The sequence below is a fragment of the Homo sapiens genome, chromosome 8 (assembly GCF_000001405.40).
Source record: "Homo sapiens chromosome 8, GRCh38.p14 Primary Assembly".
Classification (NCBI taxonomy): Eukaryota; Metazoa; Chordata; class Mammalia; order Primates; family Hominidae; genus Homo; species Homo sapiens.
The window spans coordinates 122,722,081-122,735,465 of NC_000008.11; the positions used below are offsets into that span (position 1 = coordinate 122,722,081).

General features: G+C 43.1%; 1 long non-coding RNA gene across 1 annotated transcript in view, besides 1 other annotated feature; it reads right to left on the reverse strand.

Moving 5' to 3' along the window:
• The window catches only part of LOC107986904 (uncharacterized), a 34,186-nt gene extending 22,248 nt beyond the window's left edge, over positions 1–11,938 (reverse strand). Inside the window, exon 1 of the long non-coding RNA XR_001745738.3 lies at positions 11,503–11,938. This is a non-coding gene — a long non-coding RNA (uncharacterized LOC107986904). The remainder of the gene's footprint in view (positions 1–11,502) is intronic.
• Positions 11,429–11,748: an enhancer, noted in NCBI's record as "active region_27852". NCBI's record gives its function as "activates an Ori minimal core promoter by ATAC-STARR-seq in GM12878 lymphoblastoid cells {active_cell/tissue: GM12878}" and the evidence as "EXISTENCE:reporter gene assay evidence [ECO:0000049][PMID:35858748]".
• Positions 11,939–13,385: the final 1,447 nt, after the last annotated feature.

Sequence of the window (13,385 nt, forward strand, 5' to 3'; positions counted from 1 at the left end):
GAAAGAGAGAGGAGGGAAGGCAGGACAGAGGGAGGAAGAACCAAGTCAGAGTTAGGAGAGCAAACACCACACAATGCAGTAATGGCAGTAGCAAAATTATCACTTCCTGAGGGTCTCCTGGGTGCTTTCAGTGAACTCTCCCTGGGTGTCCTGGGGAAAGCTTTATGCATAAAGAAACCCCTGGGGGAACTTTATATACATATATATGTGTATATAAAGTTTATATGGCACATGAAAAAACTCACACCTCTAATCCCAGCACTGTGGGAGGCCGAGGCAGGTGGATCACCTGAGGTAAGGAGTTCAAGACCAGCCTGGCCAACATAGCGAAACCCTGTCTCTACTAAAAATACAAAAATTATCTGGGCGTGGTGGTGGGAAGCTGAGGCAGGAGAATCGCTTGAACCTGGAAGGCAGAGGTTGCAGTGAGCCGAGATCGCATCACCGTACTCCAACCTGGGTGACAGAGTGAGACTCCGTCTCAAAAAAAAAGAAAAAAAGAAAGAAAGATTCAGAGCTGCTCAGCTACCTGGTGGCTGAAACAGAATTCAAGTGCAAATCTAACAGCAAAGCTTGATGCTCTTACAAGTCTAAACCCTCAACCTACCCCACCTTGTATGACCCTTATCCTCCCCTCATCTTCTTCTTCCCACGAAGGTTAGCGGAAGCCAACCAAATGGGAAATAAAGCAGATGTTGTGAGTGGCTTTCACCTCCTCAGACAAACTGGGCGGAAGTGAGCAGCCTCCAAACACAGGAGTCCAGGTGGGCCTTGGTCAGCACTGCATGGGGCAATCCTACACCTGACTCTAATGGAGAGAGAAGAATCCAGATTTCCCTATTCTTCCCCATTTGTTTCATCTGGAGCAGTGCTGTCCCATAAAAATATAGCACAAGTCACATATTGTAATTATGACTTTCTAGTAACCACATTTTTAAAAGGAAGAGGAAAAAGGTGAAATTAATTTTAATAATACATTTCATTTAATCCAATATATTCAAAATAGTATATTTTCATTATTTAAAGTGTATTTAGAAGTATTATTATTTAAAAGTATCATTTTATTTCTTTAAAAGTATCATTATTTAAAAATTAACGAGCTATTTTACATTCTTTTTTCATTCTAAGTCTTCAAAATCCAGTATCCACTTTGCAATTAGAACACACCTCAGTTCAGACTAGCCTAAGTACATGTGGCTAGTGGCTACTGTGTTCGACAGGGCAGGTCTATGGAATACCAAAATATCCAGATGAACACAAGGGCAAATCACATAACCACAAAGGATTCTGCATAACCAACAAAGGACTCCACATAACCAACAAACGACTCTACATAATGAAAAGGGTTTTTAAATTACCATGTAGGAAAATTGACATATTGATGTATAGTTCTATGAATTTTAATACATGTAGATTCATATAACCTCCATCATAATCAGGATACAGAGCAGTTCCATCATCCCAAAGAATTCTCTTGTGCTATCTTTTTACAGTCAAACCTTCCACCTTCCCCTAATCCCCTCATCCCCTGATGTCTAATCCCTGATCTGTTCCATACAAATGGGATCATACACTATGCAATGTTTTGAGGCAGGCTTCCTTCACTCAGCATATGCTTTTGATATTCCTGCAAGTTTACTGTGGGCATCCATAGTTCATTCCTTTTTATTACTGAGTAGCATTACTTGGTGTACATACCACAGTTTATCCATTCACCTGCTGGAGGACATTTAAATTGCTTGGGATGATTATAAGTAGAGTTGCTATGAATATGTGTACAGGTTTTTCTGTGAACATAAGTATTCACTTCTTTAGGGTAAATAACCAGGAATAGGATTGCTGGGTCATATGGCAAATGTATCTTTTACTTTATAAGAAATTATCAAGTTGTCTTCCAGAGCAATTGACTTATTTTTTATTCCCACCAGTAACATGTGAGAGTTTCATCTGCTCTGTATCCTTGTTAGCACTTGGTAGTATCAGTATTATTTATTTTAGCCATTCTGATAGGTAGGTAGTTGTATCTCATTATGGCTTTAAATCACTTTTCCCTAATAACTAATGATTTTGAGCATCTTTAATATGCTTTTTTGTCCCCCATATGTTCTCTTTGATTATATCTCTAAATCTTTCACCTATTTTTAATTAGGTTATATATTTTCTGAGTTTTGAAAGTGTTTTGATATTCTAGATAGAAGTCCTTTGTTAGCTATATGATGTGCAAATATTTTCTCCTAGTCTGTAGCTTGATTTTTATTCTCTTAATATTGTCTCTCACAGAGCATAAGTTTTTATTTTGATTATGTCCAATATATTGATTTTTTTCTTTTATGGATTGTGCTTTTGTTATTATGTGTAAGAACTCTTTTGTCTAACCTCACACCATGGATATTTTCTTATGTTTTTGAACAATAAATCACATGTGTAATAACCAAGGGGTTGTAAATATCTAAACAAATTTAACTGTGGGTTTTAGTTGTAAAAATCCACATTGTCATGAGAATTCATTAATTTTCCACATAGGTATGGAAAATAAGTAAAAAGTAATCACTAGTAAAACAAAGATGAATAAGATATGGCCCAGAATAGTGGCCGCCATCAGTTGAACGTCTAGGGCCAATGGCTACATAAACATCATCCATAACCTTCAGCCTGGCATTTCTATCCCCATTTTACAAGAGAGGAACCTGAAGCTTGCAAAGGTTAAGTAATTTTCCACAGCCAGGAAGTAGTAAAGTCAGGATCAACACTGCCAGGAAGTAGTAGAGTCAGGATCAACTAACTCCAAAGCCCTCATACATGGGAAGGTTCTTTGATTTCTAGAAACAGAAAACAGCTCTACCTTCCTAAGGATGGGGAAATAAAGCAGTAGTCCACAGGCATTTTGTGGAAGCCACCCAACAACTGAACCACCAGATGTTGACAGGGAGAAAAAATCAAAGAAGTTCAAGGATCCGGGGAGCAGGGGAAAAAATAGATACTGTCTTCCAGACATCCCTTTTGAATGAAGCATCTTCAACTCTTTTCAGCCCTTGTGTTTCTCCTTCTGGTTCCCTAGAGCAATCACCTGACTGACCTATCATGAGTCATGTGATCATCTTTTGACCAAGGAACAACAGAACACCATGATTGACAGTCCAATCAAGACTGCGGAATGAGGAACACAGGCTTTTTTCCTTGTTGAAAGGAATACTGAGGTGCTGTTACCAGAGGGAAAGGGAAGAATGGATTCTGGGATTTAAAAAAACACAGAGACCCACTAAAGCGTGGCTTCCAAAATTTTTGACCGTGTTGCACGTTAAGAAATATATTTCACCAACATGTGAGCATCTATACACACGACTGAAATGAAATTTTCATATAACAATATGCGCCTTGCAATGTATAATACAGTCTGACACACATCCATTTCCTTTCATTTTTAGTAAGTGGATTTTTAAATCCACAGTGGGTCACAACCTGCAGATTGGAAAGCACTGCCCTCACTGTGAAAGATGTGTGTTCAACAATGAAGACACATATAAGGTGGGGAACTCTGTAATGTATCCCCTCAGCGAACACTGGCGGGTCCATCTCACAAGGCAGATGTATGAAGAGAGATGCAAAAACCCCTGAGTAAGTAAAGGCTGATGAAAGGTGGGTATTTTCCCATAGAGATGGACCCTAAGACAAAGATTTGAGTCCAAGTAGCTTATTTTCAAGGTGATACCAGGATGCACAGGAAGCAGGGAATGAGGCAGGGGACAGAGGAAAGCCAGCAAAAGGGCACGTGGATGTGCTATCACTGGGCATCTAGGGCTTGGCCACATAGGAGACCTCTGAGAAACTGTGTGGAACATGCCTCAGGACTGTCCCTCCAAGAAACAAGTAAGTCGGGTGTTCATCCACTGTGATGGTTAATATTGACCATCAACTTGATTGGATTGAAGGATGCAAAGTATGGTTCCTGGGTGTGTCTATGAGGGTGTTGCCAAGGGAGATTAACATTTGAGTCAGTGGACTGGGAAAGGCAGACCCACCCTCAATCTGGGTGGGCACCATCTAATCAGCTGCCAGTGCAGCCAGAATAAAAGCAGGCAGAAGAACATGGGAAGACTAGACTGGTTTATTCTTCTGGCCTACATCTTTCTCCCATGCTGGATACTTCCTGCCCTCGAACACTAGACTCCAGGTTCTTCAGCTTTGGGGCTCAGACTGGCTTCCTTGCTCCTCAGCTTGCAGATGGCCTATTGTGGGACCTTGTGATCATGTGAGTTAATACTCCTTAATAAACTCCCCCTTATATATGCATCTATCCTATTAGTTCTGTCCCTCTAGAGAACCCCGGCTAATACATCCACCCACTGTCATCCCTCCGTAATGAAGATAGAAACAAACCCATTAACTTCCTGATACTTCCAGCCTGCCCCATGTGAGGACCAAATGCCCATGGCCACAGAACACCTTCAGGCAGAGAGACACCAGAAGCTTTGGGTTGGAAGGGAATTGTCTGTAGATAACCTCTGGGCTGGGCTAAGAGGATATAGTTCAAAGGTCTCCTGCAAGATGTAACTAGGAGGCAGGAGGAGTAGCTCATTGTCAGCCATTTCAGGAACTGATTTCAGCCCTAAACACCTGTCTCCCTTCCCAGACCACACCTCATGGTCTGGCATACCCTAGCTGTCCATTGCACATTGGAATCACCAATTCCCTGATTTCTAAATTTACCAAGTGCTTTTCAGCCTGTTTTCCTGCCTCAGCATTGCTGAAAGAAGACAGGAAATCTGGCCAACTGGCTCACTGGTACTACCTGGGCCCTCTGGTTCTCCACCAGTGTGCCAGAGAACATCTCATTCTACACCAAAGATCTCTGCCACAACATTTCAGTAAAACTTTATTCATCCTTTCCCTCCTCTTAGAGAAGATGGCCCTACTCTTGTCAAGGTGCCAAGGAAAACAAATATTCAGGCAGAGGGAAGGGATCTGGTGCACCTACTGTTTGTCCGATTGAAATAAAGAAGATAGATTGACTTTGGGAATCAAATCCAAGGGGATGGGAATAGAAACGGTGTTGAGAGTAGAGGAGCAAACTCTTAATCAGCAATTCCTGAGGGCAGCGTGTCTTGGCCCAGCCTGCAGTGTCATCTGAGGAGCTTTTAAAGATGACCAGTTCCCAGCAGGTGATGAGGCAGATCCCAGGCATCAGTACATTTTTAAGTTCTCCAGATGCTAATGTGCAGGAGCTATAAGATGGGACAGGAAGGAAGAAATAGCATTTCTTGTGTGTGTGTCTTGTTTTCTGTTTGTTTAGATAAGCTTTGTATCTCATCCAATTCTGTCAACAATGCTGTATGTTAGATTTTACTGTACCCATCTCAAAGGCAAGAAAACAGGATAACCAAAGAACTGGCCTAAGTTCTCATTGTCATGAACAAAGGAGCCAAGATTTCCACTGAAGACTGCCTGAGTCCAAAGACAATGACTCTTTCTACCCTCATCATTCTCTCCCCCAAGTAAAATTTTAATAAGATTGAAGATAAGAGAAAGGGGAAAGAAAAAAAAATCTAAAAATAGGGTGTCACTGGATAAGACAAGGCTGGTCTGGGTGAGACATGATAGGAGAGGGCTCTGTAGGCAGCAAGAAACCGTAGATATCCCAAGCTGTTCATGGCACCAAGAAAAATGGGACAAAACCACCAAAGGGGGGTGGAGTGTCATCTAACCCTGTCAATGTTTCCTGAGCCTAGTCCTGCTCTCAAGGATGTCTCACATCCAAAGTTAACTCAATGGGCCATATTCCTATCAGACACTGGACTGTGACTTGGAACATCATGCCCATCAGCTCGAGTTTGAGAGCCTCTCAGCGTAGTTAATCTTCATCTTCTTTCTGGCTTCCAGACTGACTATATTCAGCTGTGAGAATAAACTGACATCACGGTAACCAGCCTTTCCTTATTTCCACAAGTCATTTCTCTCTTCTCTGTGACTGCTTGGCTCTCTAAGCTCGGCAGCCCATCTGGTTGAAGGGATATCCTGCTGCTTACAGCCTCCTCTGGGACTGCTCAAAGACAAGAGAAACCCTATCCATTTATACTCCCCTGTGTTTGCTCCATGGAACTGAATTTTATTTAAGCATCACATTTGTAGAAGGAAAAGGCATTTGTGTGTTTTCTTTCTTGATTGTATTTTTCAGCAACAAGATGCCCAATAAATTAAAGCAATCCTCAGAAGGAAAACTTCAAAACCAAAATCTCCCAAGCACCGTGTGCTCCCAAAGTCATAGAGCGTCTTTTAGTGAGTATCGGAAAATAAGGAGAGCTGGAAGAGGCCCTAGGAATCATCTCTTAGAAGGGGAAGCTGAAGCCCAAAATGGGGGATTGACTTGCCCCATGTCATGGCACAAGGCAGTGCTAGAAGTGGGACCAGAATATGGGTGCTTTGGCCTCATGTCCCCAGATGGTGTTTTGCTGGGCAGGGGCTGCATGCTGAGGAAAGACAGAAGAACATCACATTGAAGGTTGAAGGAGGCTTTCATGGGCCTGGAAGAAAGTAAAACTGGTGCCAAAGAAAACAGCGTATTTAAAACTGCAGGCTTAGCTTCAACAGTGATGAAAACAAAGTGATCTTTGCTATTTACCAACCCATCACTCCCAAGTTGACTAATGCAAGGGCCACCATATTGCACAACTCTAGGAGGCTCAACTCATACTGTCCTGTTAACCCGTATTTTAGAAAAGCAGAAAAATAAGAGCTCAACAAATATTAGCTATCCTTTTTCTTGTTTTGTATTAACAGCTAGAACCAAAGGCAATTATTGACAAGTACAGTATTCACTAAAATCAAACAGTCACCTAAGAACAACCCAGGCCTGGTGCAGTGGCTCAGGCCTGTAATCCCAGCACTTTGGGAGGCCCAGGTGGGTGGATCACTGGAGATCAGAAGTTCAAGACCAGCCTGGCCAACATGATGAAACCCCGTCTCTATAAAAATACAAAAAAAATTAGCTGGGTGTGATGGTGGGTGCCCATAATCCCAGCTACTTGGGAGGCTGAGGCGGGAGAATTGCTTGAACCCAGGAAGCGGAGGTTGCAGTGAGCTGAGATCGTGCCATTGCACTCCAGCCTGGGCAATAGAGCAAGACTCCATCTCAAAAAAAAAAAAAAAAGGGAAAGAAAAGAAAAGAAAAAGAACAACCCAAGAAATTTGGCTCTCAAGATTCGAAAGAATGAATGTATAAAATCGAGTAGATCAAAAAGATGTCTAAAAGAGGACATTCAGCAAGACTGATTAAGCACTCACGGGTGTTAGCTATGTGGTAGGTAGCATTGTTGTAAGTATTTTACACGTGTTCATCCTCTCAACAACTCAATGACAGAGGTACTGTTGTTAAGGCCCATTTTACAGATGAGGAAACTGAGATGAGGAGTCATCCAGTAACCGGCAAGTCACATGGCCAACAAGCGGCAAAGGGTGATTCAAAGGCAGCAATCACCTCTCAACACTGCATCCTTGACTACTTGCAGCATGGCTCTTTATGTTATTTGCTCCTGAGAGTTGGGGGGCAGTTGAGTCCTGCTCCATTTCCCTCAAATCACCGCAGTTGACCTACATGAAGTTTGTAATGGGGCCGACAGTGAGGAAGGGATCTGGCTCAAGCATAGGAGGACCCTTAAGGGGAGGCAGACCACTACAACTCTGGGAAATCTAGGAAGGATTGGTGGCATCCTTAAGGAAGCACAGGCCAGAGCCCCTCAGCATCACAGTGGGCATTCAGAGGGAGGCCCTGGGCCTCTGGGAGCTCTACACTTACCCCCACATCCATCCCTGCTTCAGGCATATAGAGTTAAAAAAAAAAGAAAAGAAAAGAAAATTAAGATCCTCCCCAAGAGGCCAACAGAAAATATTCAAAGTAACTCAAAACCTCCTCCAGCCTTTCTGAACCCAGTAGAGTTAGGAGATATTTTTAATTCATCCCACTCTGTAACCTTGAGCAATTTACCTAATCTCTTGAGTTTTAGTTTCTTCATCTCTATAAAATAAAGTTCACACTTACCATATATGTGTGTGTGTGTGTGTGTGTGTGTGTGTGTGTGTGTTAGAAATTAAATTTGACATAATTGGTGGAAAAGGCTTAGCACAATGCTTGCCAACTGGTAGAAGACCAATAAATAATAGCTTTCATCTACCCTTTTGGGACAGAAAAGGACGCTGTTAGGTTCCTATAAAACATTTATTTTTCATTATTTACCAATAAGCCCTTAATTTCAGGGCTACAATATGCCCAGAAAACAAGATCACCTCCCCAGACACCTTCGCAGTTAGGGTGGGCACATTTCAGTTCTGGCAGATGAAATGTAAGGAGAAGACTATTTGGGAAGCAGAGGGGTATCTTCCAGGAAATCTGTTGCTTCCCTAAAAATTGGAGAAACAGACTCAGCTAGCATTTCCTTTGACCTATGACCCTTCCTCTTCCTCCTATTTGAAGGTGCAGCGGCCATCTTGCCACCATAAGGACAAAACCACAGGCTGATCACAGGAATAGAGAAGAATCTTGGGTCCTAAATAACATCCTCTGATTATTACACCAATTCTACATTTCCTGCATCTTGACTAGTTGTGTTAGAAAAATAGACCCCTAAAAGGTGTTCCATTATTTGTAGCTGAACACATTCCTAACTGGTATTTACCAATCCCAGTTTTATATATTGAAATAGAAGAAAGTATAGCAATTCTGGGGTGTTCGTCCAAGGTCACATAATGAATTGATTGGTGGCAAAGTCATGCCTGCTGAGTATCTGAGTCTTAAATTTCCAACCCCAAAACTCTCCAAATAGATTACATTTCCACAATTATTGTATCTATGTCAAGAATCAGAATGATCAGTGTTATAAAGCATTTAGGTGCAAGACAATTGTGCTGGTATATAGGAAGCTTTCTTCTAGAAATTTAAGTAGTCAAAATATATTTTTGAAAATCATGGATTTTATTTAATCTGTGCAAGCGGACTTTTCAATCTGGGGGCAAATCACACATGAAGCTTACAAAAGGAACTGTTAATCTACGGAACCCAGCTCCATCTCTCTGGAAACACAAGGAAGCACCTTTGAACCATCCAAAGAACATCATGCTGTGAAATCAACAAATAGAGCTGTCTGCCCTCATATCTATCCTAAAGAAGATACTGGATTTGAAAAAGACATGTCTTTGAACTGCTAATAAATATTTTACAACCCTGATCTTTTAGGAAGTCAGGATTGACTAGCACTATCTCATAAATGCAAGCTTTGCACAGTACAATTGTTTGGGCTTATATATTGTCTGCCTTGTATTGTTATAATTTAATGAAAGCTATTTGCTGAACTCAAAAAATGTAATTAATAAAACTATATCCAAATTCCCTGGCTGAGAATTTGTATCTGCAACAAAGCTGCTGGATATGAGTTTGGTCAGAATCTCTGGAACTTTGGGATCCTTGGGAGAAGAAAATCTACTCCTTTGCTTTAGAAATAGATGCATCCTTGGAACTGTCCAGGTGGGTGTAGGTAGTGGTGCTTACAACTCATCCCACCACCAAGCAATAGACCCCGAGTAGGATGGCTTCATAGTGATTCCCCCAGTGGCCTTGGTTATACTCATGAACCCGTTCCCCTGGCCAGGTTCAATTGGCCCAGCATAAAAACATGTGACCCAAGTTGTGGCATATTCTCTATCATGGAAAGTTAAGACTTGAACAAGGAGATGTAGTGATGGGAAGTCTTTAGAATTGACTCAGCTGGCTTGCTACAACCCAGAAAGTGAGCCCACAAACTACTACCAGTGAAGTCCTGGGATCTCGTTTAGTTCCTGCCCTTCCTGAGATCCTCTAATTCTCTGAGCTCACCCAGTAAGGCACTAAGGACACCTCCTTTAAAACTTGAGCTACACTGAGTCAGTTTGTTTCTTAAGACCAACAGGATCCTAGTGAATACACCTGACACTATTGTGCACCAATTTGTAGGGTCACAGAGCCAGAAGGAAACACAAGAGTTCTCCTAGTTCCTTTCTACATTTAAGCAGGAATAAGCAGTCCCAATCTTGGGCAAACAGGTGGCAGGGAATCTCCACCTTATTGTCTTTAAGCCTCTAAGGAAAGTAGTTTCAACATTCGGACCCCAAACTCTACACCAAGAACCTTTTCTTCCCATGTTCTTTATTGGCACCTGCCGTGGTGCCAAAAGTGTAACAAGTGGTTTTTGGTATGGGCTTTGGGGCTAGGCTCCCAGGGTTGGAATCTGATGCTGCTGCTTTCTAGCTGTATGACTTAGGGTATTGTTCATCCTCTCCATGCCTCAGCTTTCCCTCCTAGAAAGGGAATAAAATTCATACTGTTTGCCTCATGGAGTTGTTGTGAGAATTAAGTGAGTTAACCCATACGAAGTTCTAAGAACAGCACTTCACCCCTACTTCTCCTACTGTCTCCTCTTTTGTATTTCAGGCATGCCAGCTTATACGTGTTCTTTCCTGCCTAGAGTCTTGGGGGCGGTCTTTGTACATTCTGTTCTTTCTGCCTGGGAGCCGTCCTCTACTCCCCACAGCCACTCAGTGATAAATGGCAAAACTGGCCCCAGTTCACCACCCCTTCCTATAACCACACTCTTTGCTATGTGATTTTACAGCTCCTCCCATCAGCAGGTGGAGTCTATATTCCTAACCCCTTAAATCTGTACTAGTCATGTGACCTGCCTTGGCCAATAGTTGAGTAGAAGTGGCATTGTACTAGTTTTGATCCTGGACCTCAAGAGATATTGCATGTTTCCATTCTCTCTCTCAGACTCCTTCCAGCTACAAGCCTAGTCTAGCCTGCTAGATGAGAAACACGTGGACCAGTCTCCACCCATTACCCCAGCCCACAACTAACCAATCCCTTGAAGCAGAATCACCTAGCTGACCAGCATCTGACCATCGAGGTATAGTGGTCTCACCACACCAGCTGAGACCAGAAGAACCACCCAGCTGAACCCAGCCCAAATTGCCAACTCACTGCATTACAAACTGAATAAGTAACTATTGTTTCAAGCCACTAAATTTGAAGGATGATTTGCTACATTGCGAAAGCTAACTGATATACACCCTCTCTAAGCCTCAGTTTCTTCAATGATAAGACAGAAATAATAAAAACAGGAATAATACAGCCTACCTCAGAAAAACAAGCGTAAAGACTGAAAGAGATTATGCTTCTCAAGTGCCTATGCAACAGTATTACATAGCTATAAACTACCACACACATTGTAATGATGATACTGATTATTTACATTGCCTCTCATCTGTATATTTGAAAGTAATTATATCTAATGAATAGGTTGTTGTGATAAATTGAGAAAATATGTGAGATGCTTAGCGCCATGTCAGATACAAACAGAACATCAATAAGTAGTTATACTTAATGAGCTGCTGTTGTCAAGTATTACTACAGAGTCTCGGCTTCTTTATTCTCTCCCCTGGCCATTACACACAATCTTCCACTGCCACCCCCTCCTATCTTACCTTCAGCCCTCAGAGTTCCATCACCTTGATGATTAGACGTTGGCTCCCAGCCTTCACCCTGACACTAGGGCAACTCCAGCCTGCAGAGCCCACTTCCTGGGAGAAAGCATTGGAACGCCCGGGACTCCTTGAACGTCCGTCCGGTCGTGAACTTCAGCCACTAGGGGGCAGCCTCACCCTCCAGCCTCGGGAAGCTGAGCCGGTCCTATGGGGTTTTTTCCCTCTTCTGATCCTGCAGTCTGAGGGCCCAGGATTTGGGAAGCCCCCGCTGGTCCCACTGTCTACGGGTCTCAGCCCCACTGTGGCCACTCACCTGTTCATATTCCCCCCTTCCCTCCTAAGTGGGAAGTACCCCATCCCCCAACCACTTTGAGCAGACACTGGTGGCGGAACCTCCCCAGCTCAGTGTAACCTCTCAACCTGCGCGAGTGGTTTCATAATTCATGCCTGCCCATCAGCAGACAGATTTAGCCTGCTGCCTGCTGAGTCTGAAAATACTGAATATTAAAATATCCCAGACGCTCGCCCTTCTAACGCCCTCGCCTCTCTCGGATTCATATGCAGTTGGCTGCACAAACAATTCCAGGGACACACATCAATTTGTCGATTAAGTAGGGTTTGAGCACCCGTATGTGTAACTTTCATCAAAACAGGGAAAGGCGTATTCAGGGCTGCGTGCTCGGTGTGTGACCTTGAAGAAGTCTTAGTCTTCTGGCTTCAGAGCCAGTATATTTTTTTCTACATCACATTGCTCCTTAAACTCTCAGGGCCCTTTTTGCAGCACTATTTGTGATTAAGAGAAATGGGAATCCAATTTGAAGGATTTCACTGAGCAAAGTAGAGCAAAAGACCTGCGGAAACAATCTCTGCCCACCCAGGACAGCAATAGAGAGGTTCCCAGCAATTAAAGCCTGCCGGTAATGAGGATGAGGAAGCAGAGGACTCTCATATTTGGTAAAGAAAGGGGTGTGCAAGTGTGTACGTGTGTGTATCTCACACCCCTTTCAAGTCTGACACCTGTTATGTATATCAAAGACTGCCACATATTTCCTGCCTTCGATGGTGAGTTTTGTTTTTATTTTGAGACGGAGTCTCACTCTGTTGCCCAGGCTGGAGGGCAGCGGCGTGATCTCGGCTCACCACAACCTCTGCCTCCCGGGTTCAAGTGATTCCCATGCCTCAGCCTCCTGAGTATCTGGGACTACAGGCATGCACCACCATGCCCGGCTAATTTTTGTATTTTTAGTAGAGACGGGGTTTCACTGTGTTGGCCAGGCTGGTCTTGAACTCCTGACCTCAAGTGATCTGCCCGCCTCAGTCTCCCAAAGTGCTGGGATTACAGGCATGAGCCACTGCACCTGGCCGATGGTGAATTTTAAACCTTCTACTTGAAGATTCTGGGCCTTTGCTAAGGCACACACCTTTGCTAATATCCAGTAATGACATGACCAGCAGCAAATGTAGCTAAAAACAACAGAAATTTATCATCTCCCAATCCCGGAGGCAGAAGTCTGAAATCAAGGAGTCAGCAGAGCCTTGCACCCTCCAGGGATCTAGAGCAGATAATTCCCTGCCTCTTCCGGCTTTTGGAGGCTCCTGGCATTTCTTGGCTTGTGGCAGCATCTCTCTAATTTCTGCCTCCATCTGCACAGGGCCTTCCTCCCTCTCCCTGTGTGTGTCCTCTCCTCTTCGTCTAAGGACCCTCGCGTTGAGTAATCTTAGACCACCCTAATCCAGCATGATCTCCTCTCAATCTTTATCTTAATTATATCTGCAAGATCCTATTTCCAAATGTCTTAGTCTGTTCAGGCTGCTATAACAAAATACCTTCTATTGGGTAATTTATAAACAACCAGAATCTGTTGCTCACAGTTCTGAAGGCA